Source organism: Homo sapiens, chromosome 15, assembly GCF_000001405.40.
Source record: "Homo sapiens chromosome 15, GRCh38.p14 Primary Assembly".
NCBI classification, from domain to species: domain Eukaryota; kingdom Metazoa; phylum Chordata; class Mammalia; order Primates; family Hominidae; genus Homo; species Homo sapiens.
The window spans coordinates 87850572-87877638 of NC_000015.10; the positions used below are offsets into that span (position 1 = coordinate 87850572).

The 27067-nt window shown below is 41.7% G+C and overlaps 1 protein-coding gene across 15 annotated transcripts in view, besides 2 other annotated features; it reads right to left on the reverse strand.

Moving 5' to 3' along the window:
- NTRK3 (neurotrophic receptor tyrosine kinase 3) overlaps positions 9180-27067 on the reverse strand; it is a 396989-nt gene continuing 379101 nt past the window's right edge. For 14 of the 15 annotated variants that reach the window (NM_001243101.2, NM_002530.4, NM_001012338.3 and 11 more), the window contains one exon: positions 9180-26549. In NM_001243101.2, the coding sequence (NP_001230030.1) occupies positions 26364-26549 (186 nt within the window). In that variant the 3' untranslated portion in view covers positions 9180-26363. The remainder of the gene's footprint in view (positions 26550-27067) is intronic. The other variant, XR_001751292.3, reaches the window with a different exon arrangement.
- Positions 12694-12894: a silencer, noted in NCBI's record as "peak2413 fragment used in MPRA reporter construct". NCBI's record gives its function as "represses an SCP1 promoter by STARR-seq MPRAs in K562 erythroleukemia cells {active_cell/tissue: K562}" and the evidence as "EXISTENCE:reporter gene assay evidence [ECO:0000049][PMID:32103011]".
- Positions 24270-24770: an enhancer, noted in NCBI's record as "H3K4me1 hESC enhancer chr15:88418072-88418572 (GRCh37/hg19 assembly coordinates)". NCBI's record gives its function as "activates a minimal SCP1, AML or CMV promoter by ChIP-STARR-seq in primed H9 embryonic stem cells {active_cell/tissue: H9 hESC(primed)}" and the evidence as "EXISTENCE:reporter gene assay evidence [ECO:0000049][PMID:30033119]".

Sequence of the window (27067 nt, forward strand, 5' to 3'; positions counted from 1 at the left end):
ATTATAAAGCTCATTTTATTAAATTTCTATCGTTATTTTGTTCTATACCTTCAAGGACTCAGGAGGATTTCCTTCTTGTTTTCTATTCCAGATTCTGTTCTGTAAATATGTTTTGAATGCTCTATTCCTTCCTTCCACCCAACTATCTATTTATCCATCATTTCTCCATTTCTCTTTATTGTATAATCTATATTATATATAACAAAATTATATATAATATGATATATATATTCATTATTACATTTCTTTTACTAGCTCTTTCTTAACATGAGCAATTGGATCCATATTTTCTATTTATCCTGATCCATAGTGGGTGAATTCTCTTTGACATTCTTCCCACCTTAACTGAAACATTTATGTCTCAGCAGAAGTTTGAGGGTTGAGTATTGTGTGCTATCAGTTTTTCTGTGGTCTGAGAAAATCTGGGAAGGAAAGAGGGACAGCCCAGTGGGGGCCGGAATTCTGGAGGACTTGGCTTGATGCAAATGTCCTTTGACGGACTGTTTGGCTGATATCCCAGCCATGAACTGGATATGCTAGAGGTGTGCTTGGATCTGTCCCCAGACAGATTGGAGCCATGAGACCGAGGGGAGCTCTAACCAACATTGCTGCCTTTGATGAGAGCCTCACAAAGTCAGCAGGGCCCTCTGCACTAGAGGATTTGCCCACAGCTTTCCTGAGCTCCCTCAAGCCACTTCTCTGCGAATCTCAGCATTTTTTTTCCAATTGACATTCTTTCTCCAGCATTACTTCTAAGGGCTGAGGGGAGGGACAGAGACCATAGCAACTCCGCCAGAATTTATAGTTTTATAACCACCACTCTGAGAGTTTATAACATAAAGTTATACCCCAGCCCTTACTTTTTTCCTGCTAGTAAGTTGTTTTCAGATTCTTTCTCTTTTTAGAGGGAGATTCCTTACCTGTGCTTAATCGCACTATTTTTGTGCATAAATTCTGTCTTAGTTTATGACTCCTTTAAGCAGCATAATGACCTTGGATTAGAAAGTCTGTAGACCTGGGCATGAAACCCAACTCCATCTCTTAACAGCAGTGGTTCTCAACTCAACTGGGGCCAATTTTGACAATGTCCAGTGACATTTTAATCATCATGACTGGCAGGTGCTACTGACATCTAGGGGGTACAGGCCAGGGATGCTGTGCCATTTTACAATGGCACAGTCTGGTGCCAAACCACGTACTCACAGGACAGCTTCCCAGAACAAAGAATTATCTTATGCTAAGTGTCAATAATGCCAAGATTGAGAGACTCCACCTTAGTAGCTGAGTAGATTTGGGCAATTCTTTTAATCTCCTTAAGCTTTAGTGACTTTGTCTTTAAAATGAGCATAATAATGTCTGTCTTAGTCAATAGACGGTAGAGTTTTAATGTTAATATAGTCATAATAACATAATGATAATACTTCTATTATTATCCCTGGAACTATTATTAGTAGTAAAATGGTAATTTTTTGAACCGCTGTGTGAATGCAAGCAATTTCCTCATCTATTCTAACCTCAAATTATTGCAAAGTTAAATTTATTTGGGGGGCAACCTTGTCTTTCACTGACTCTTACTGTTTCATCTGTTTTCGTTTGTTTGTTGTTGACATTGCCCTGTTCACCTTTTTTTTTAAACGAATCCTTGACACTTCCTGGGAAAAGCAGCATCCTGTCATTTTTTTTAATTGCAAGTATGTATTTTGCTTGCCTTCTTTTATGCCTCATATTAACATGTCCTCCAAACACAGTGCCAAGATAAAAGTGTGAGAGAAGGCCAACTTCCACCTCCAGGGCCAGAGAATTTGATGTGGGCATTGGATTAGAGCATCCCCTGGTAATGAGTATGCCCTTCATGGTGTGAAATGAAAGGCTTTGCTATTTTGTCTTGTTTTATTGGTAAAGAGTGGCCATAGTTCAAATACACCCAATGTGGGTTGTCTGCTGTCCATTCGTCCATTCAGGTTAGTAGTACAGAATATCATCTTGCTATGCTCTTATCTTAAGATCAGTAAAGTGAATGGTGTAAGACATTTGCCAAGGGATAGGAATAAGATGGAAATCATACTTTCCAGACTCTTTATCCTTGCTCTCAAGGTCTCAGGGCATAATGACCATGACTCCAGGCTTGGGGAAAAGTTTCTGTTTCTGGCCTATAAAGACACCACACGGGAGGGGAATGGTGGCCCTGGCCTTGGAGTCTCTTGCTTTGCAAGTTCATCTAACTAACCCTGACCCGACTGCCCTGAGAAGTCTTCGGAGAAACTATAATGTGTATATGAACATGTGTCGTTGTATATGTATCTGTAAGTCCTTGTGAGTTTACAAAAGCAGCAGAACATTGTCAAAATAGCATGGGCTTCGGAGTCAGATGAACCTAGGTTCATATTTCACCTCTGCCATTTATGAGCTGGTGTCATTAGACGAGTCAATTAACCTCTTTGAAGTTCAGTTTTCTCAATTGGAAAATGGGATTAATAAAGTCCACCTAAGCAACGAGCAGATGACCCTAAAATGGCAGATGCCACTCTTCAATGTCTCTTTCTATTGCTCAAATATTAACAGCAGGACAAATTTTTACTTTTGTGAAATGTATTCTAGTTTTAAAGCTCAGTGGGCTGCTATTATTCCTGGATCTATTTAGTGGCTGTTAATGACCTTCTCCTTGTGTGACAGTTAGAGACAAATAACCATGACCAGGCTGGGGGAAGCTGGGGAGAGATGGATTGAATTTGATCCATGATTGGAAAAGTGTGGAAGCTGGGATTTTTATTGTTTGATTTAACGAATCTTAATAGGGCTTGGCCTTGGGAGACACAAATCAATAATGTAATCTTAGTGCTCTCATTGGCTCACCAGTTCTGTTTCATTCAGAAAAAGCCTCCCAGAACCCCATCAGGGACACATTTAATTCTCAGTAAAAGGATAGGCCACTCTCAAGAAGATAAAAGAATCATGATGATTATAATATTGATGATGACATGATGATGACGAGGAGGAGGATGAAGACAACTGGTAATGATAATAATGATGGTGATGGTGATGATGATGGCAAATGATTATTACCATTTACTCAGGGACTATCAAGTGCAAGACCCTGCACTAAACACTTAGTGCATGTCTTCACATGACCTGGTACTATAACAACAGGCTGTAGGTATGACAATCTTTTTTATAAATGAGAAAACTGAGACGCACAGAAGCTAACTGACTTGCCCAAGGTCCCCAGTGGATGAGGAGGATGTTGGGATAATGAGAGTTATATTTTTTCCTAGTGGTTTGGGGAATAAGGTGATGCTGTAGAAGTCATCACCTTCTTTAAACACCTTTCCTTTAAACATTCTCACAGGGAATACCAAGTAGAAACAAAATTTGCTTGTGGTCAGAGAGACATAAGGTTAAATTTTGTCCCTGACTCAAACTTGCTTTGTGTCCTTTGGGAAGGAAGTTAATCTTTCTAAGACTTAGGTTCTCCAAACCCCAGTTTTCTCACCTGGCAAAGTAAAGACAAAAATATGTAACTCATGAGGAGTGGTTATGATGAAGGTTTATTGACCTGCCCAACTGGTGCATGGGAGGTGCTTAATGAATGTCATTTTCTTCCTCTAGGACTGATAAGGGGCCAGAGCAGGTAAAGCCAGAGGCTGGGCCATATCAGTCCTGCAGTACTGGACTATAGGAGTTGGTGCAGACAAAGCTGACTCAGAGTGAGACAGAGGGGGGTCTTAACAGTGGTTGATGGCACTGGAAAAAAAAAATCACAAACAATATTATCACCTCATTTCTCTAGAGAAAATGTAAAATTCCTGTGAGCAATATACATCCAGTGTTTTTAAAAATCACCGTTTTTCTCAAAACATTTTATGATCAATCCAATCATTCCTGGATGAAAGGCCCTACATTTATAGGGTGAGAAAAAACACCTTCAGAACTCTCCTGGGGTCTTTTGTCCAACCTTTGACTAAGTGGTCATTTTGCTTCACCTACGGACTAGAACAGAAGTAATAAGGAAAAGGACATGGTAGCCATCATCTATCTAGGCAAAAACTGGTGTGCCATACTCTCCCCTCCAGCCCTCTTCTAAATAGTCACACACCACTTTGACTCTGAGTTGCTCTTTGCCGATTACTTCTGCTGGTTCTGAATCACAAGTTATCCATCATAGGTGACCATCATATCTCTAATATATAGAGGACTGTCTATCAAAAGGCACAAGAGGATTTTTACAACAGTAAAATATCCCTCTCTAGGGGTGACAGGGCCCTAGCCTCACCCTCACAGGCACAACCAAGAGCTCAGAGTCCAGCTCATCCCAAAAAAAAGACTGAGTCCCTGATTAGCATGCCATCACTAAATACTGGAGCAGATGGCGTGAAATTCCAATCAGAAGAATTTATAATGTGAAGTCAGATATTATATAGTGAGAAATAAATAAACAGAAATTGTCAGTCAAACTCGTGGCAGCTGGGGCCAGCATCAGAGGCAGTAAATGAACTAACTCCATAAACCATATTTATGATCGGCCCTATTGAGCATAACTCTGCCAGTGGGGCTTTCTGCTATGTATCAGGACACACTGGCTTGTTGCATCTCACAGAGGTAGAAAATGAGCAGGGCCAGTATGTCTCTGGAGCAGTGACTTAAGGGTGTCAGACCATGATTGAGACATTTCCCTGCTCTCTAAGTCAATGTGTGCATACGGCTTGGGAGAAGAGTCTGGCTTCCCACCTAGCATGAAATTCAGCAGAAGGCAAAGACTCCTACTGAACTCTGATTAGGTGTTATCTCAAAACCCTAGCACTTGCTATGCATAGCCCAAGGTCACAGTGGGTGAGAACTTGGCTCTGTTCTGGGAGAAGCCCAGGGGATTCTCTTTACCCAACACTCTTCCCTTAGCCAACATCCAAGTCATGGACAGAAATACTGCCCCTCCATTTGATCTTATACTCTTGCTCTTAGCACCCTACTCCTTCTTCTGTTCACTGTGGGATTCCCAGTACGAGGCAGGGAAGATGGTGTGGAGACAGGGGATCTTAAATGCTTTTACATCTTCAGGCTTCAGCACATTGTGCCACATCTACCTTAAAAGCACTCCTAAACTGATTGATTACACAAATGAATTAATGGATAAATGAGTGAATGAATAAGTAGATAAATGAATAATTATCCCAAAAAAGATATGTCTTCCAAACTGCATCTCTGCTCTGTTTTCCTCAGCCTAAAACCCTCCACTGTTGTTTTAGACAGGAGCTTCTATCCATGTAAGAGAGCTATAGAGTGGTAATTAAGACCATGTGTACTAAACCCAATTGCAGGGTTTAAGCCCTGGCTCTGCCTCAAGAAACTGGGTGGCCTTGGGCAAATTATATAAACCTCTAAGGCATGATTAGCACATTTATACAACAGTAATATTGTTAGTACCTGACCCCATTAAGAGTATTAACTCATGTTGAGCCCTTAGCAGAGAGCTTGGCAAATAGTGATGTTTGATTTGAATATGGATGCTCGTGATCATGTTCTGCACCTTCTTCCTTCCACTGCCTCTTTCCATTATATCTTAGCATTTGTCAGCTAAGACTGCTTGAGCTTGAGTGACAAGAGGGGTGGTGAATGTTCTCAAGATTCTGATGAGGAAAGGACTGTGACTAGGACATTCATAAAGATCGCCTTATTTAATTCAAAGCAGGGCTTTCTCCTGAGCCTTGAGTATCTGGCAATGATGTGTAGTTAGAAGACGGCCTTATCCAGCAAACTCTCTCAGACTATACCATCCAGCTTCCCTTAGTAAGACTGAGACTCCTGTAGAATTTTTAAAGAAGCTGCCTCTTGATATTTAACTGTTTTAAAGTCATTCCCTGGCTCTTGAAGCTAATCAGCAAGTGGCAAGCAGGGCAGTAATTAGATCCTCTGCTGAGCCCTGCATCGGAGATTTGAACAATTCAGAACATGGGGGAAAAGAGAGGTTAAAATAGAACATCTCCCTAGTTAATAGCTAAGTAATTTTGAGCATCCCAATAGGAGCAAAGAATAGGTCATGGCCCAGCACAAGAAGCCCACCATGCCTTGAAATACTAAGGAAATGTGTCCTGAGAAGATTAAGCAAGGCAGTATTTTTGGGAGCTCACTCCTATATCTATCTAAAGTCCATAACAAGATTTACCACAGACAGGAAGATAGCTTGAGGCCAGGAGTTTGAGGCCAACCTGGGTAACATAGTGAGACTTCATCTCTACAAAAAGTACAAATAAAATGAAATAAAACAAAAATTAGCCCAGGTGTGATGACATGCACCTGTGATACTAGCTGCTCAGGAGGCTGAAGCAGGCAGGAGGATCACTTGAGCCCAGGAGTTGGAGGCTGCAGTGAACTATCACTGTGCCACTGCACTCCAGCCTGGGCAATACAGTGGAGACCCTGTTTCTTAAAAAGTAAATTTTAGGCCAGGCGTGGTGGCTCATGCCTGTAATCCCAGCACTTTGGGAGGCTGAGGTGGGTGGATCACGAGGTCAGGAGATCGAGACCATCCTGTGAATGGTGAAACCCCGTCTCTACTAAAAACACAAAAAATTAGCCGGGCATGGTGGCGAGTACCTGTAGTCCCAGCTACTCCGGAGGCTGAGGCGGGAGAATGGCATGAAACCGGGAGATGGAGCTTGCAGTGAGCCGAGATCGCACCACCGCACTCCAGCCTGGGTGACAGAGTGAGATTCTGTCTCAAAAAAAAAAAAAAAAAAAGTAAATTTTAATTTAACTTAATTACTTATTTTTTTTTTAAAGAGCGACCCCTACCTTGGACATCAACTTTCAGATTAATTTCCACCTCTGCCCTGTGTCAAATGAGCACCTTCTTGGCATTTCTGCTCTCAGTGTCATTATGAACAGCCTCCAGGTTCACTCTCAGCAATGGCTAGTTGCTATTTCTAAAGTATCTTCCTTAAACCCCAGCTTTTTTGTGTCACCACTGAGATGCTGATATTTTAGGACCAAGTGATCTTTATAAGACTATTTTACCAGCCATGCCCTCCAGCACTGGAAGATGCCTTTATTTGGGAGATTCTCCCAGTTCTTATGCACCTGAGAACCCTGGCCACAGGCAGGTAGTTGAATGAGATTATCAATCAAGGACCTTCCAGACCTAGGAGGCCATAATTTATTCCAGTCCTTGGATTGTCATCTCAAATTAAATGTCAAATCATGAGTCACAAGGGCATGAGGACAGTCTAAAGTGAAGCTGCACACCTCCACAGCCTCCTTGGCCTTTGTGTGGCATTGGAAGGACTTCCTGAAGAAAGATGGGTTTGAGGCTATGTAGGATGGAACCAGAAGTCTCTCACAGTGCTTTGGTCTCAAGCCATCACTGGAGTAGACTATACAAAGGTCAAGACTTAGGCCTAGATTTCAGGGGACATCCAAAATCCTACCTTGAGAAACACCTATTTTTGCCTTCAAGCAGCCTAATTCTGCTCTCGCTGGCTGTCATAGGAAGCCACTGATGCAAAGGTAGCCACATTCTGGGGAGAAGAGATATTTCCTTCATAATGAACATGCTGTCAGGTTTTTCAGAATTTTGGATCCTGAGTGTTTCCATGAGTGAGTTGAAGAGGTGGCATAATGATGGTACTTTGAGTGTTGTACAAATAATCTGGGGCTTGGAGAATGAGAAATCCAGTGCAATGCAGCAAACGTCCATTAAATGTGTACTGTGTTCATAGCATTGTACAGAGAACATTGACTTTTGCCTGGACCAAGTTAATGCAAGTTCTACTTACTCATCGAAAGGAGTTTCTATACTGGAGACTTATATCCCAGGCCTACACAAGGTCTACTTATGACCCTATAATTTATGTAACTTTCTGCGGCAGGTGGAAAATACGTTGGAACCATTGAAAACCAAAGGTTTCTCTCTCTTAGGTCTGCCAGCATCTTTCACAGGGACATCATCTTTAAAAAGAGTGTTTGAGTTTCTTCTCACACAGACCCAAAGGACTTAACCACACAAAAATTACACATTTTTAAGTGATATGAACAAATATTCTAGGGATGAAGACATTTTTGATCCATGTAGATGAAGAAGTTATTTCTATCACTGTCTAAACCCCAAATGTAGTATTGTAACTTGATTCTCAGCAATGGGCTTTGAAGAGAAGTGTGCTTAAAGAAAAGCAGCAGCAAGTTTACCATATGGCACAGCCAAGCGGCTGGTCTGGAAAGGGCTGGAGCATGACCAGGGGCTCTTATATTTCCTGAATTTGATTCGTCTTTTAATACTGTGTGGCAAGATGTAAAAGCTTAAGCAAGTGTTTCTCAAGTGCAGCAATTTTTCCCCCCAGGAAGCACCTGGCAATGTCTGGAGGCATTTTTGGTCTTCACACCCTAGTAGGGTGGGGGTGGAGGAGGCAGAGAAGGACTGCTAATGCACTAATAAAAATGCTGATGAACATCATAGAATGCACAGAAAAGCCCCCTACAACAAAGAATTATTTAGTCTAAAATGTCAACAGTGCCATAATGGAAAAACTCTGTTTAAACCTTTCTACATCTCTGTTGAACTCCTGTTAGTGGAATTGCAATCTGTGCTTCCTGTCTCTCTTCCACATTTTATCCTAGAACCCATCGATCTTTTTGAAATAAATTAACGAAAATAAGCAGTGAAATGTTATTAAGGAAAACACATTATATGACATAAAGCAGAAAATATGTAGACAAAGAGAGAGAAATTGGAATGAAAAGAGAAGAGAGGGAAAGAGTTTTAAATTAATTATGCTAAAGGATAATAAAATCTTTGGGGTAAATGGATATTCAAAAGAACATATTTTATCCTACTTTGAGAGCTTACTCAAATGATTATAACTGGGAAGTTGAATATCAACATATCAGGAGTAACAGGATATCACAAAGACACAGAGCTGGAGATATTCAATCTTTTCCTTGGGACTCAGTCTCAAATAATAATTGCATGTATGTTCCCCTTACAACACTCATTTCCATCCAATGTTTAACTTATAGGCTACCTTAAAAATTGTGCAATCTCCTTTTCCTCTCAGAAAAGCAAGGTTCAGTCTCTCGAGTTGATACTGGATCTCATGATCTTTGCACACATTCGAACTTTCCCAAACTTTCAAACTACATTTAAATTCAACATACTTCCCTATTACATAATGAATCCAAATAAAACAAGGACATTGTTGTTTTATACTTTATTTGAGAAGAGACCCTACATAAACTATGTCAGGAGGATACAGGTCTACACACGATTTCATCAATCAATAAATGGAGTTGTTAACATAACATTGAAGATATGATACTATGAGAAAGACAGACATATGACCAAGGAGTATTTACAACTCTCACTTATGATATATTTATATTGAAGATGGATATATACATATATACATGTACATGTGCATATACATACCTATGTCCATACATACACACACATATATACATATATATGTATAAAATGTTTTTAAACAAAAACCAAGAAAAGAGTTCGCCTTCCTGTAGTGATTAACCATTTGAAAGTGAAGAATGGTTGATTTGTATTAGTGTCATGGTGTTAAATCTCTGCCCCCACATTTAACTTCAACACCCATAGATTCCGATGAAGACACATGTTTGCCTTGGGATGGAAGCATGAGGGTGAAGAATGGGGTGATGGGTATGGGGCCGAGACTGAAGGACATGCACAATGGGAGAAACAACCTTTGGTGATACCATTAAATCATCCTTTTGTATTAAACATAAATTACTAATACAATTTAAAAAAATAATTTTTTGTTTTCTTTTGAGGTTGGGGAGAAAGGAAGGGTGAGATGAAGAATAGAGGGTGGGCACTTGCCTTTTCAACATATCCCTTAATATCAACTGAGAACACACCCCTCTAACCTGTGGCCATCTTATCAAGTTAGAATTTTTTTTTTTTTTTACATAAATGACACCTTCACATAAGAGTTTTACTTAGACAATAAACCTCTTCTCCAAAGGCAAATGCAGTCATCATTTTAACGAGATTGATTCTCCAAGACTCGCCAGGATGCAAATAAAATCAGCATAGCCAATGCATTCACCTGTCATAAAGGAAAGGAATGAAGGGAACAGCACCTCAAGGAGGAGATACGATTAGTAAAACCCAGTTCTACTAAAACCTCAGTCACTTATGTTAAGTTATCAACTTTGGGATCCAAATGATAGGAAGCAATCATGATCAGCACTTTCCAGAAGCCTGGGAGAAAAACAAACGAGCATCACGTAGGAGTATTTCTAAGTCATAAAATACAAATGAGGAACTATCAATTGGGATTAAAATAAAGGGCATAAGATCCAGTTGAAAGCACCTCAACTGCTGTGGTCAACGTCTCCACCCATAAATGATGACTTGGCAATACTGTATTCATTGTTAAACTTTCCTTAATTCAAGCCACACTGTTGTTGTTGCTGCTGTTTTTTCTTTTCCAAAATCTGTAAAATTAGCTTGGCCTCAGAACAGGTGTGCCCAGGTATCAGGTGTCCCACATGCCAAACATACCATTGTTCAGCAGTTGCCATAAGCCAGCTAACCCTTCAGATTGCCAATATATTTATGCAAACATTGGGAAACACACATGAACACATGGGATCAGACAAGATATAATAGCTTTACATATACTTAGTACAGAAGCTTAGGGAGGGGGGATGGAAATCAGTTACAACAGTACCTAAACTTCATTGGCAAAATTCCTCTCAGGGAACGTAATATCCTAATAATGCACTGAAGTAGGTACCAGCTGATTTTCCAGATATTGAAAGTTTGCTGCACAACATCAGCCTAGAGATAAAGGGACATGTAATGTCCAGTAGGAAACAAATCAGTGTATATCATTTACACGACAATAAATCCTTCATTTCCCTTGAAATAAGATATGTAAAGTAGCACTTAGTTTAATACAAGTTTTGTTCTGCTGTAGACCTAGCTGTAAAAAGCCATTCATGCAAAAAATTACTTCCAGTTTTAGCTGGATGTTTAAAGGACACTTCTCCTGAAAACAAGTCCCTTTCACTTAGGGAAGGGAAAAAAAAAATCCCACTTAGCCAGTGCCGGCTGAGAGTGGAAAATACAAGACTTTGGTGTTTGTAGGGCATTTGCCTTAAGAACCCAGAAGTAGCACTGAGCTCACCTCTAAAGAGGCAGAGGGCTAGACGCGCCCTTGAAAATTTTAGGAATTTTTTCAGAAAAAGTACTGAGAATCTTTATAAAATTGTATTCGCTGGCCAGTTCCCTCCTGGGGCTTCTATTGGCATCATCTCTCCTTCTAGAGATGCCTGCTCTGCATCTCTAGTCTCAGGCCACATTTCCCCCAGCCAGCAGATCGTTCCTCCATTAGCAGTCACTTTGCAGCTCCTTCCCCTCTGTTCTAAGGGAAAATAACTTGTATTATTAAGCTTTCCTATCCCCATAGGTCCTTTCTGTACATATTATTTCTAAACTTTTTAAATATGGGAAGGTTCCTGGATTAAAATATAAGACAAAACTCCTCTATTCTAAAGAACTCTAACAGAGGTGTTGGATGCTGCTCACCTCCAGTCTTCATACAAATAATCTAGAGAATCTTGTGCCATGGCCTTTTTTGCAGGGCAAGTGTGAGCACTGGAATGAGATTCACTCAAGAGGACAAGGAATGGAAGGAATGGATGGCTACATCTTAGACCCACTCCCAAGTTAGAAATCATCGTTCCACTGAACTTGCTCCTCTGAGATCTGGCTCTGTCCTACTTTTTCCACCTCATTTATTCCTAAAAGAAACCCCTTATTTTCTTACACCACTAAATGTTATGGATGTTATGATAAGCAACATGGAAAGGGAATGGAAAGAAAGGGATAAGATATAGGGGAAATTCAGAGCCTTGGATGGTACAGAGGCATTCAAAATGGAGGTTTTCTAACATCTGTCAGATAGAAGGCAATATTTATGATGAAACCTGCAGTGACTGACTTGCCTTCCCAACACAGGATTCATCCTGACATGAGTGGAGAAGATGCTGACAATTAGTTAAGAGTAGACAATGATGACTCTAAGATGATATCTGTGTGTCATTGTGCTATATAAAAACTGGCCAATCACAAAGCAATGTGACAACATGTGCTTCTGCTACCCTTGTTTTCTCAGTACACCCTTCAGTCTGGCCTGAAGAATGCCACAAGGAGTCATTTGCATTCTTATTGTGATTGTTTAAGGCAAAAACAGCTGTTAAAGAGCACTCAGGGTTGAAGGGTGGATGCTGAGAATCAGAGAAGTGCCCCCAATGAGTCTCCAAAATGAATAACAGCAGCATCACTGGGACCTTTTCTGTCCCCAAACTTCATAGCTTCTGCTCAACTGCTGTGAAACATTGCCTCCAGATGCACACTGAGTCAAACATAGACTTGTACATTGTGAGAAATGTGCAGAAATGTTAAAAGGAAAATGATTGTGTATAAGCAGTCCTTCATTTAGGGGTTTACAAGTCAGTGGTATGTTATAAAGACTTGTGTAGGGGGAGCCTACTCTAAAGCATGCCCTTCAAATGAAGTCTAGTGTGTTTCTTTCTACTTCTCTGAGCCAGGAGAGCTGGGAGTGTTACTCCAAACCCATTTGTTAGGAGGTCAAGAATGTGACAGAGACAGCTAAGCTAGGCTTGGTAATAAATGAAAGATGTAAGAACCTTAAGAATAAAGTCTTCCAAGTTGAGGCTCCGGTAGATAGGAAATAAAGGAAAACAAAACAACTGCCCTTCCTAGTCTGGGAGGTCAATCAGGATAGCGGGCCCCTTCAATTCAGGGGGTTGTTTGCTGTCCCTGGTGCTGAAAACATACACCCAGGCTTCGCTGCAGAATTTACACTCTGGGATGCGAGAAGCAAGAAATCCCGCTTATCAAACTAAATACTCTTTCAGCAAAGGCTGATTTCAGGTGACAGGCCTCAAAACATGTTCCAAAAGTCTTTTTTTTTTTTTGTATGTGTGTCATTTCAAACAAAAATAGCCCTGAAGCAACCCTAGTTTTCCTGTGGAACAGTTAATGCGTGCCAAAGTACTGATGTGGTAGCTCTCCCAAAATTCCCTCATGTTATTCATGAACCTTAAAACCTTGGAAAAGAAAGATTGTAAACAGATGCACCATTGGGGTCTACAGTCCCCACCTACTGATTTCTTTTTCTGATACCAGTTGCAGACAATAATTTATATGGCTTGCTATGACTAAATGTTTCTGAAGGAAATATTTGGGTAAAACTTTGCCATGAACTGCAACATGGGCCTCTGAATTCCTCTCCTTTCCTAATTTTATTGTCACATTCTGAGAAAATAAACAGGGCATCTATTATGCTAAAGAGAAAGTATAAACTCATAAACAACTACATTCTATCTGCCTTTAACCCCCCACCAGGCAAAATACACACACACACACACACATACACACACACACACACACACACACACAGAATCTCAAAAAGTAAAGTCTACCTGAGAAATAACATGAATCTTCCCCCAACAGTACACAAATCTTTGCCAGAGAGAAGAACACTGCTATTTTCTTTCACATTCAGAGTGAGAATTTTCTTGCCCCAACTTGCTTTCCTTTCATTTTAATTTGACAGTTCCTCAAGCTAATCCACCATGGCCCCCACATAAACAAGAAGAGTTCTTGATGCTGTGAAGTGAGAGAAAAATAACATGAGTCATTTTCTGTTGCCTCCACATCTGATAGAATTGGAGGAGCCTTTACTTTGGGATATGAATACAATCAATCTTTTCTAGCCTGGAAAAGGAAGTATCCTAAGAAAGGCTAAACTCTCAGAGAAGGGGCAGATGGTGAGAAAGCATTGAAATAAGTTCTTGTTGTGCCTGTTAACATATCAGGTCAAACTTTCTCTACCTGGTGAGTTATTCCCCAAATGATATCTCTGAAATCCTTAAATAATCAGCCTTGTCTTTAGGAAGTTATATAGTGAAATGAGCTTGTTCAAGGAAGGCTTTAACAGTACTGTGAAGGAGGTCATCCCCTCCAGATTATCAGAATAAATTATGAAACTTCACCCTGAACCAGTGACTAAGCCAAATAGATAAAGCATCCCCCTGTCTCCTTGTATTTTTTAGAGCATTCTCCATGGCTAGATACTCAAAGTGAAAAATGCTAATGGCAAAACTTCTAAAAAACAGACACCAGCAAAAATTTAAGGAAGATATGCCTCAAAACACGTCTCAAAAGCGGCTCTCAGTCTCTCAGCTCAGCACCCAGCAAGACTGCATGCAACTGCCCAGAGAGTGGGCTCTATTATTTGTCTGGCCCTGTACAGTTCACCTTCTCCAATTTCACATCATAATTTAAAATCTCAGTGGTAACCCAATTTGGACTCTCATTTCGAAAGCTGGGATGCTTTTTGTCTACTGAACAGTAGTCCGAAACAGAGGTGTTGCTTTTCTACACAAGAAAAACAAAAATTGAGCCCAATCTTTTGTCATCAAGATTGCCTCTGTATGAGGCAAAAGTTAAAGAGAAAAGAGAAGCTGAGAGAGCCTGAACTTGAGCAAAATATTTGTGAATTTTCTAGGATTTGGGGTATGCAGCTTTATTCTGATTTCTTTCTGGAGTGATCAAAATACTTTTAGAAAATCATGTATAGCATTTTGTCAGATACACTGCAAGTGATTGTTGCTTGGAGATCTATGAAAAATAACATTTGAGAAAATTTTACTTGCCAAGTAGTCACTAATACAGAGTACTTATAATAGTGGCTTGTCATCACAAACACCTGGGATTTTTTAGGGGCTGTAAATGACAGAATACTGTGACTTTGGCATTCTGGCCTCAGGATTCATTATCAAGGGTTTCATTTTCATTCAGAAACATTTCTCCGTGGGAATCCCACTCACACGTATTTTTGTTGGCACTTGGGCCTATTAAAGGTGTGGTCTAGCATTTGCTCTTCACTCATCTTAAGATTATTTTCCCATGTACAAATGCTGGTCCTGGCATGAACAGGGTACCACTTAAAAATCATTATCCCTTCAGATGCTCCCTGAAAAATTAGTTATACCACCAAATTTATAGAGAAAGTTTCACAGAGTCCTATTTTTACAAAGCATTATGTTGAAATTGACAGAACCTTATGAAAGCAAGAGTTGATGGCAAGGAATTAAATGCAGCAGAAGATGCCATTTTGCTACAAAATGTCAGAGTTCCAAGCCTGAAAACAAACTCTAATTGTCCCTTTCCAGTGACTAAGCCAAATAGATAAAGAATCCCCCTGTCTCCTTGTATTTTTTAGAGCATTCTCCATCACTAGATACTCAAAGCAAAAAATGCTAATGGCAAAACTTCTAAAAAACAGACACCAGCAAAAATTTAGGGAAGATATGCCTCAAAATGTGTCTCAAAAGCGGCTCTCAGTCACTCAGCTCAGCACCCAGCAAGACTGTATGCAACTGCCCAGAGAGTGGGCTCTATTTGTCTGGCCCTGTACAGTTCACAGAGTATGTTAACAGTTATGATCTCATTTAGGGCTCAAATAACCCTCTGTGGCATGCAGGGGGTTGATAGTAGTTCTATTTTGTATGTTAAGAAACTGAGGTAAAGGGCAGACAATGTTTTTCCAAGATCTCTCAGCAGGAAATAGAAATGTGCAAGTTCTCTGCCTCCTATTCCCATTATCCTCCCTCTACCACACTTTCCATCTGTTTTGCCATTTTATCCTAGAAAGCATTCATAATAGACCCCAACTCTTTCCTAAAGAAATAAAAGTGAAAAAAATTATAAATCTCATTGAATATATTAGAAGGAATCAAGAAAAGAAACAATATGGAACTATCCCCAGCATTAAAAAGTATACATTTACATATATATGTAAATATATATATATATATACACACACACCCCTATATATATGTAAACTATATATATCCCATATAATAATAATCATATATACATGGGATTATTTTAATATGTATATATATTAAAATAAGGGATTGGGTTAGACATTATGAATTTGTTTTTAATAGTAAATATGGTTATTTGTGTTTTTCAGAGCCATTTAAGGAACAGAGTTGAAGTATCTATTGATACATAATGATTTGGGGAATAGATGGTTTGGTCTTCCAGCTCCTTCAGCAATTTCTTCTATCTCTTTGTTTCTAGAAAGGAAGCATATTATCAGGTTCAGTTCTGTGCTTAAGATATAAACCTCTCTGGTGCCATCACAGAAAAGGTTTCATTTGATTGAAAAAGGCTTTTTTTTCCCCCTCAAGATTTGGATGCTGCTGCAAATCTGTGTGTCAATATTATAGTCACTTCACTAAATAAATAAATGCTTTGCTGACATGTGGAACTCCTCATCTATAGAAATATAGCATATCCACTCTCATAGGGGCCTAGAAAAAATGAAAATTATGTTTTACCATTTATCCATATAGTTAACAGCCAGAAAACAACAGAGGAAATTAAAAGAAAACGTGTTTGGAGAAAGGCTCCCCTTTCCTAACCAAGCCAGAAGGATGGTTTGACTTCAAAAAGACAGACTGAGGCATTATAATAGGCTTGTTGTCCCAGAGTCTCTTGTGCAAAAGCAACTGATGAGGCGCTAATGAGGCACTAATCACTTGGTCCAGGGGGCTGGAAAGATACTGATGGCTGGGAGAACGCACTTGTTTTCCTCTCTGAAAACCTAGGCTAAATCCCAAGCTTGGTTGATGTGCAGGCTAGGAAAGAGGGAGATGAGCCAATAGGGCTTTCCCTGGCTTTTCCCTGGCCTTAAAGGGTGGGGTGGGGAGCAGGGAATGGACAGCAAGTGTTCAGAGTTTGGACAGCTTCCAAAGGAGGGTCACAAGAGATAAACTGCCATAAAACAAAAATGGGACTGACTCCTCAGTGTGGGGGGGATGTTTGCAAACTTGTTCAGGGCAGGATCTTGAGATGGTATATAATATTTCAGTGATAACCAACTTGAGCAATGGATGAGAAACAGATTGGCTTGCCCCATCTCTGGAATTAGAGGGGCACAGGACTGCAACTAGTTGTCAGATGCCCACATTAAGCTAAGGACACTCAAGTGACAATCTAGCAGGCTTGCTCCTAGCCCAGTGCTCTTCTCCTGCCCCATGCTAACCGTTTTGGTTCACGTTCTAATTCAATTTGAGTGTCTGAGCTTCATATCTGACTACTTGTTTCAGCCACAAGATAGGTTCAATAACCTGCTTAAACTACTTCACATTTATATTTGCACTTACTACTATTTGTTACTCAGGAACAAATTCAGTACCATTTCCCCCAGAAAATTAATTAATTAAATAAAATCTGAATCAAGTTTTTGTTTCTCGAAGAAAACCAGTCCTATCTTTAAATATGAAGGTTTAAAGAAACTCAAGATGTAGTCTCCCTTGAAAAAGCCTTAATTTCATGAGCTCCAAAGTGCAGAAAGTCAAAGGGTATGTGTCGATAATAAGAGGAAAGATGAGCTATAGATGACTTTAAGAAATCACACATGTGATGCACACTTCATTGCAAATGCATGCACACAAAGATCAACGGAAGCGACACAAATGGGGCATATGGATTTGTATACCAGTAGGATTGTGGAGGCTTTTGTGTGTGTGTGTGCGCATATATGTACACACGAATAAGTATCATAACATAAATAATTAAAAACGTGAATGTAGTTTGCACTATGAGCACGAGCACCTAGAATAAAACACAATGCTGATAATTGCTTTTAAATAAAGTCATCAAGATTGCCTCCGTATGATTTTTACCTTTTTCAGCCCAGAAAGATATCTTTCCAATTCATAAACACAGTGTCCTTGGCTGGAAACTTCCAATTCTCCTAAAGAAATACCTAAGAATATGCAAGGAGATTCTTATTATTTAAATGAAAGACAAGAGGCAAGTAGGAAAAACAATTTCAAAGGGAATTAGAATCAGTAAAATCTCAGAGAAAATTGTTATCCAGACTTCAGGGTAACGTATTCTAAAACCCTGAGGTAAGTTTCCAAAGACGCCTGCAACCATGCTGAGCAACTCTGTGGAGTCTGAAGGTGACTGAATCTAACCTGAAGGCCTTTTCTCAAAACTTTGGATGTAATCAATGGCCCTATTTTGCAGAAAAGTTGCAATTTCAGCTTTGAGGTTCTATGTGGCTGTTGTGCCACAATGTGGAATTATAGAGTGAGTCTGGCTCATTCTGGAGCCAACCACTCCTTAAAGAGATGACAAACCAGTGCTTAGAAAACAGCTACATCTTTTGTCCCAGTTGGGAGAAACAGGAGCTGTGGCTGCCTCTCTTGTAAGGACCATAGGAAAGACCTGCACAAAAGACAAACACCTTGTCCTTCAGAATCCGTCTGTCCGGCCTAGACGCAGTCATGACCTTGTTGCAATGGGATCTTGAATCCCTAGAGGATTGCAGAGCCCAGAGCAGGGCTCAATGACTTAGGACACACTAATTCCTTTTAAACCATTTCACTTTGTGCAGCATTAAGATATGCTGTGAAACTGTCATCAGCAGAGTGTTTTTCATGCCTTAATTTGCAGTTCCCTCAGGGGAAACCCAATACAATGACAATCTCTGTCACTCTAAGCAGAAAGCCTGGCTCAGCATCATGGTCAGAGAAGGCCCAAACTCCCTCTCCTAGGGTCAGATCTCAGCCACGGCTCCTCTGCTCCTGGAGGCTAAAAGTTTATGGACAGAGAAAGCAGAGTCAGTGGGGAGAGGAGGGTTGCTGAGGGTGGGCCACCACGGGTTCCAGATGGGATTTGTGGAGACACATCACATGCATCTCAATGAGCTTTGCAGTAAAATTCACTGCACAGAGGTTAATCTAGATGTCAACATCGTCTGACAGCACTGAAATTACTCCAGGGCAGGGCTTCTTCAGAAGTCTTAATATAACAGTCAATTCCATCCTGCCTACAGGAAATGAAAGTTTTCTGCTTTGTGTGCCGAATCATTCGGTCCAATTTTCTCACTGTTTGAAGTCCAAACTGTTTGTGGCTCTGGGATTCACCTTGTATTAAGACTTTCGTGGAGTTTGAGAAGCTGGATTGTCAGTCCCATGGAAGCAGGAGGATAGAAGCCAAAAGAAAAAGAAAAAAGAAGAAATATGAAAAAAAATCTTCTTCACTGAGATTTACTTCTCCACTACAAATGGCAGAAATCAAATCACCTGGACCACGTTTATTTATTCACTCCAGAGGTAGGCTCAGAGGCATCAGTTACATGCCAGGTAGCTATTAAATTGAGACAGAACATGGACAGATCTCCAATGAGGAAAAAAAATTGAATGTGTCCTACCATTTAACATATTACAAAATTAGTTTTTAAAAATAATATGTGAAACTCCCATGTGTTCTTCTTAAATGAAAGAATAATTATCAGACTTGGACTTCAGTGTTTACACGTCTTGTTGGGTTTTAGGGATGTTGCATGTAAAAGAATGTCAGTAATCCCGCAGCCCTATTACTGGGTATCTGCCCAGAGGAAAAGAAGTCATTATACATAAGAGATAGAGATACTTGCACACATATGTTTATAGCAGCACAATTTGCAATTGCAAAAAGTGGAATCAACCCAAATGCCCATCAATCAATGAGCAGATAAAGAAACTGTGGTACACACACACACACACACACACACACACACACACACAAACATATATATGTATGATGGAATACTACTCATCCATAAAAAGGAATGAATTAATGGCATTCGAAGCGGCCTGGGTGAGATTGGAGACCACTATTCTAAGTGAAGCAATTCAGGAATAGAAAACCAAACATCGTACGTTCTCACTGATATGTGGGAGCTAAGCTGTGAGGATGTCAAGGTATAAGAATGACACAATGGACTCTGCGGACTCAGGGGGAAAGTGTGGGAAGGGAGTGAGGGATAAAAGACTACAAATATGGTGCATACTGCCTGGGTGATGGGTGTGCCAAAATCTCACAAATCACCACCAAAGAACTTACTCATGTAACCAAACACTACCTGTTCCCCAATAACCTATGGAAATAAAAAATATGTATATATAAAATAAGTCTTGAAAAATAGAATAAAAGACTGTCAGAGTACACCGTAAGTATTTGAGCTCTCAATCTACCTTTGGCCTTTCAAAAAAGATGTCTAAATTTATCATTGCTAAAATGAGAAGAAACCAACTCCTTTTGTAAGATACTAAACTGAAAAGCAAGACCTGAGTGCCTCAATGATTCTCAGAAGTAGATGTTCAACAGGCCTTTCCTCACCTCTGTTATCTTGATACATCTTCTATTAGAAACTTCCAGCTTTGTCAGCTAGAAGTATCCCCTGCAAGCTATGAATGTGGGTCACGACACTGAACAAAAAGCAATATTTGCCTGGGTGATTAGGAAAAATTAATACAACTTACTGCCCTGCCTCCCTATGATGAAAGAAAGATAGCCAAGCTCACTGGTTCAAGACATTATCTCCTACTGCAAATGTCAAACTGGGTCTTGTTTTAAATTTGGAACTTAGAAGTAAACTAGAAAGAAGAGAATCTGAGTTTTATTTCTTTGATAAAGAATTCCAAGTACTTTGAAGGAACACCCCCCACCCCAATCCAACCTCCACAGGTCTCACAGAAAAGCATCTATTCTAGTACACTGACACTTGAACCAAAGACAGTTCTTGTTGCAAACTATAGATACTTTCATAGGAAAATAAGGAAAATATGCTTGAGGAGAATGAGTCATGCAGAGCTTCTGTCAGAAGCCAAGATTCAGCTCTTCAGGGTAGGGCAGCCCATGCTCAGAGCAAAAGTTCTAATACCCAATGCAGTGACACAAACATTCACCACACCTACTATGGTCAGCAGTGCCTTTCAGAAAGAGCAATCAATGATCAAAATCTCACATTCTCTCTGTCTCACCCCTCCTAGGGGGTGGTTTTCCCTGCAGTGCTGGTGGCGTCTATACCAACCCCCAAATAAGATGTGATAGAAATGACTCCTGTGTGGTCATCTATCAGGCAACCAGGAAGAATGATTTTCAGATGCTCAGAATGTTAGTCAGCATAATTTAGTTCAGAGAGCACCAAATGATCCAACTTTACAAGATGACAGATTTCCCATCGTAATCTTCCTGAATGTTTCTGAGGCCAGTTCATCTCCAGATTTCTTATCCCCAAGAACGGTAAGGCTAAAAGAGAATCCCAAATTGAAATCAATTTGCTGACTTCAAACAGGCCTTCTTTGAAGCCATTCCAATCCAATATATAGAAATAAACACACAACGTACATATATGTATACTTTCTTTAGAAGACACTCCCAGTATTATTAAGCAACACCAAAACATTTTCCCAAGCCCATATTGATGTCTTAATAATGATGCATAAACTTGGAATTTTCCTTCAAAACCTTAAATATTTAAATCCTTAAATATTGGCCAAAACAATTTATTTGGTATGAAAAAAGAAAGTGGAGCTTCAGGAGCCAAAAACACAGTGACTTCAGCACCCAAGCCCGGAACTAAATGTGCCATTTTTTTTTCTCTCTAAGGCAAATGCCCTTGAGTCTTCTAGCAGGTTGGCTCCCTACCAAAGCAGACAATAGACATCTCAGGGGCCTTTGGGACAGCTCTCTGGACTGCTGGCAGGTGGGTTCATTCAACAAACATCCCTAGACATTTCCTTGCTCCAGATTCCGAGCAAAGCACTAAAAAGACCCTTAATCTCAAGACTGTCCATTGCAATCACTGTACTTTGGAGTCAAGGTAATACTGCTGCTGTTTGGTTTGGAAAAGGGGAACAAAGAAAGTCATTAGTCATTCCTGAATAGAAAAGGACTTTGGTGAATAGTCTGCAACTTAAGACGCTGCCCTCTTTCAAACATCCCGGCCTCTTACAATAAGCATTAAAAGATAAAAATCTTGTCGGTTTTGACCCAGAGTTGATTTCCAGTGGCCTGCATGAGAGATGGGCAGGCCTCTCTCCATATCTTGGAATAGTTTCTGCCAAGTGTTAGCATGTTGGTTTTGAACAGGGAAGGTTGACTAGCTGAGGGGAACAGCCTGGTGAAACGCAGGCAAGTGGCTAGGCCAGTGACCTCCTGTGAAGAGCATAAAAATGAAGTCTCTGGCTTGTCTGCCTGGCTCCCTGTACAATATTCCTCAAATCTACCAGTCACCAGGCCTTCTTTCATTGTCTTCTATAATCAATCCTTTGCCATTGGTAACTTTTCTTCGTCTCCTTCCTTATCTTTCACTTCATCTCTTATTTTTAACAAGCAAGTACATATATATCAGGTGGGACCAGAACCTAGCTTTAAAAAAATGAAAAGGACTCTAAAAATATCTATACAAACCTCTTAAACGTCTCAAATGAGAAATAAGCTGATTTGGCCAAGGCCACGTGGATAACTAATAGCAAAATCAGAAATTTTGCTGGTCTTTTCACCCTGCCACTTTTCTACTTAACTTCCAATGCACCCTGTACTCTCCCGGCATGGCTGACTCACTTCTACTTCTGAGTTGAGTCTCGTGCAGCCCCAGAAGCTGGCTGACAGCTCTCCCGTTGGTGTTGGTTTCTGCAGTATTTAGCACCAAAATGACTTGCACTAGTGTATTCCGCAAAGTAGGCATCACTAGAGAAGAACATTAATGTTCAACCTGAACCCAGAAGGACCAAAGATCCTTTGCCTCAAGTGGGAAGCCTCTGTCTAGGAGTAATTTGTGCATGATCTGCTGAATGGAGGAAGCAGCACCTCCTTTTTCTTGTCTCTTGACTAGAGGAGGTTCAGTGATGCCCAAGGTCCCCTCAGAGTTCAGGGATATCATTAGAGGGCAGAGTTAGGTTCACATCCAAAGAAAGAAGAATTGGGAGGTCCCATGGCCACAACACCCTACTCCAAGGTGGACACCCAACAGCAGGTCACTCTCACTCAGTCCAGGAGAGGATCCGGTGAGGTTGGCATGGCAGAGAGACCAGCCTGGGTGCCCTGGAGCGTTCATCAAAAGACACAAAAGAGCTCACTTCAAAGCTAAGCTCTCAGAGGCGATGTGACATGGTCTTCTAAAAGGTGGACTTTGGTATGGGAAAATGAGGGTGAAATGAACTGGAGTGGCCATATTGGCTAATAGGATGTCATTTCACAACACATTTCATCACATTAGGCTCTTCATAAATAAATAAATAAATGGACCGTCGACAGTGCTTTTCTGGTATGTAGGAATGCCAGGATGGGAAGCCGACCAAATGCTCCCCTCCTGGCTTACAGTCGTCTCAGACACTTCAGACTCCGAAATGTTGAGACAAGGGGCAAAGAAGGAGAGGAGTGTCTTATTGGAACTCAGCCTTGCCCAGGCCCAGTGAGCCTTCAGCGGCAACTGCCCCCCACCTATGCAAGGCTGTCCTGCCATTCCAGAATGGTATTGAGAAAAATGGCACAGTGACACAACGTTGTCAGAATCTAAGAACTCAGAGCTAGAAGGGGCCAGAGATTAGCAGGTGTACCCCTTATTCTGCAGATGGGGAAATTAAGATACAGTGTACTAAGCCTTATCAGTCCTGTCCCAATATAGGAGGGACAGGTGTGTCCCAGTACATGCCACACTCCCCAGAGCCATAGTGTACCCTGCAATTTCCATGGCCCTATTTTCTGCCTCCTTTACTCTCCAAAATAAATCTTTTTTTTTTAATCTGCCAAGGCTAATATATCAAAGTAATATATCTTCCCTCGCTACCCTTCCCTGCTCTGCCCCTCTCTCTCTGGCACTCTTCCACAGCCAGCTGCTTACAATGGACACAGTAAGAACATGACCCCAAGATCAGCGTGAAAGCCCGTGGGCCTAAGGTGGCAGCAATCTGACAACTGCGGTCTCCTTCAGTGCTTCTTGTTCCCCCAAGGAATCACCTTCTTTCATTAGGCCATGATGAATCAGTGCCCTGAAGATAAAACCATAGCATGGTCCTTATTCCCAGTTTTCCACCCATCTCCAACCCAGTTCTTCTCCTGCTTCTTCCCAGCCCATCAGTGACTATCAGTTTTGAAACACACAGCCAAGAAGACAGAAGCCACACAGTGTTTGTTCAGGAGAGGATATGGGAGAAGGGAAGCAACAGGAGCATTGGTGCTTCACTTCTAACCAGAAGATACTTTTCCCTCAGGCGCCTCCAGACCATGCCCTCCCTGAACACCTGTTCTTAGCTACCCAGATCAAAGCCAGATTGTGCAGCTTCAGCCAGAACTCACAGCCCCGGCATAACGGTCCTCTAGGTGGAAAGACAAGAGGAGTAATTGTCATAGGACAGCAAAGGAGTTCCTTGAGGTGGTCAATCCAAACAGCTTTCCTGCAAAGTCCTCAGGGGCTAGGAGCACAGCACAGTGAGAAAACCAACACCAAATTCCCATCTCACCTGCCTCCCCTCCCAGTCCAGCTAACCAGCCTCGTTGATCCCAAATCCCAACCATGGCTACAATCTGAGCACAGCTCTTTACTATTCAAATAAAAATATTTGTGGGTCTACAAAAAGAAGCAAAACCACAAACACATAATTCAGTACTAAACCCCACATAGGGAGGCCCACATTTCAGCTGCCTTCAGCTAACCAGGACGTCCAGGCTGCCGGCAGTCTCTTCAGCTGGCAGGGAAAAGGGTAGGCCAGAGGCCCCCGGGAGGTGAGCTCCAGTGTGGCAAAGGTCAGTCCCTTAGGTAGCTCTGTGCTTGGGGCAAGGCAGAGGGGCCCCGTGGCCTGGGAGGAACACATCCTCTCCTCTCCAGCAGAGGAGATCTGTGGGGCCAGGCTGTTGGCTTCCATGTTTCATGTGACAGGGAGGCCCAGAGGTCGGCCCCACTGTGGTATGTGGCAGCAGCCAGGAAGGCAGTGATTCCCCAGTGCTGGGGCAGAGGGAGCAGGCCCCAGCACAGATGTTTCCTTCCCTCTCTCCGGTCAGGGCTCAGGCCTCATTAAGATTCCAAGCCTGCAGCACTGGCCGCTCATTGGACATCTCCCAGAGAAGCCTCAGCCCTTCCCCCTACCCCAGCCCACAAAAGTGATTTCTCAGCCCCTGCGTTTTCACAACAGCTCAAAGGCAGATGCATCAATCCTCCCAGGGGCTGGAAACGTGAGGAGAATGCCAAGGGGCCTGGCACAGGTGCCAAGTAGATTCTCCCCTGCTGGCTCTCACCCACTCCACTGCTTGCTTTCCTGAAACACTCACTGCTGCAGCCTCTCACTAGACCTGGCTCCCTTCCTTGGCAGTGGGGTTTACCTGGGACTCAGTAGAGACCCAGGAAGTGGGGTCTAGGATCTAGGGAAGCAGGATGAGAAACTGAGAGGACCAGGGGGCATTCGTTATAATGACCTACAAGCAACCAAGTCTCTTGCTATTGCAACCCTAAAGCGTGCTGTGTCTACATTCAAAGATAACATGGGGACCTGTTTCCTAACCCCCTAAGCTTCCCAGGGGCCTGAAAGTGGGAGGTGAGGCCAAGGAATCTTTGCAATGATGGAAAAGACAGGTGGCAGTGTCTTGGCAGGGTTCAGGTTTCAGCTATTTTTTCTTCTGTGGTTCTTTTACTCCAGAAAGTCCAGTTCTTTAAGTTCTGAGAATAGAAAGACACATCCTTTGCAACTCCAGCAAGAAGCTTACACCCAGGATGGATGCTGTCAGCTCTTGTCATGGTTTTGTGTTGTGGGGTTGTCTGTTCTGTGTTTACCCGTAGGTGCCATCATTGATTCCCAAAAGCATCAAGATTACACTTTTTAGAATGGACAAATTAGAACATTGTCCTGAAGTGGAGGAAATGGGGAAGAAGTGGAGGCAAGGACCCTGCTCAGGCATCATTTCTTTGCTGAGCACAGCCATGCAGTCCCCACATGTGCCTGTGGTGAGCTTCCGGGGTAACAGACACACACAGCAGCGACTGAGCACCACCTTAACTCCTCCCGTCCCAGAGCTCTCATCCCAAAGATTGTCTCTCTGCATGGTCCAGGTCTTCTGCTCCAAAGAGCCGTAGCATTAGAAGCATGGGCCACAGCTTAAGTCAAAGGGAATTTTCCTTTGTATTATTAATATTTTAGAGTTTCTGAGTTGTTAAAGTCTTGTGGTTTTCTGTATCAGCAGCTTCTCTGTGTACTAGAGAAGGTAACTCTCTGTAGATATAGATTGATAGATAGTTAGATATATAAATATATATATATATATATATATTTGCCAAACTGCCTTACAGGGTTTTTTTTTCTTTCTTTTTTTTTCCTTTTTTCAGTGTTGTATGTGTAGCAGGCACTTGAGTTTATATGAAGATGTTCGCTTCAGTCAAGGATGGAAGGAGTTGTGAGGTGGAAGGGAGATGTGAGGCAGGGAGAGAGGAGGCAACAGAGTATGAATTCATGACCACCAGCCACCACTAGCCAAGAATGTCCAGGTAGATTGGGGTGGCCTTCCCCAAAGCATGGAGGATTTTGTAGATCTCCTTGATGTTCAACCGCTGCTGTGGTTCCCTCTGCCAGCACCCCAGCATGACATCGTACACCTCTTTGGGGCAGACTCGGGGCCGCTCCAAAACACGACCTTGGGTAATGCACTCAATGACCTGAAAGAGTGAGAAGAACAAGGAAGTTACACCCAAAGCTCAGCCTTGGTCCTGTGGCTCAGACTCGGCAAAAAGCAACAACTTCCCGGATTAGTTTCTATGCAGAGCCGAGGCTCTCACAAGCACAAGCTAAAGGCTAGGCTGTATACAGCACTGGTATATTTGTCTGTCTGGTGCACAGTGCAGTGAGCAGCAGTGGCTGGTGGAGTCCTCTGCTGCCCTTCATACTCCACTTCTTGGGCCAGGCCCACATTGACCATTGACTCCCCATACTCTCTTCTCTTTTACCTCACTTTTCTTCTCTAGTCCTGAATCTCATCAGGATGACTGAGCTGCATTCATTTTTCACTTGATAGTGGACATGGGCTTCTGACCTGTCCCTCCCCCTTTCATGAGCCTGCCTCACTTTGAAACTGCCATGAAGGAGCTCTGCACCCTCTGGCCCCTGCATGCCTATCTCCTCTTATCTCTCATTCCTGGCAGGCTCCCAGTTGCAGACTCTGTGCACGTCACCACAC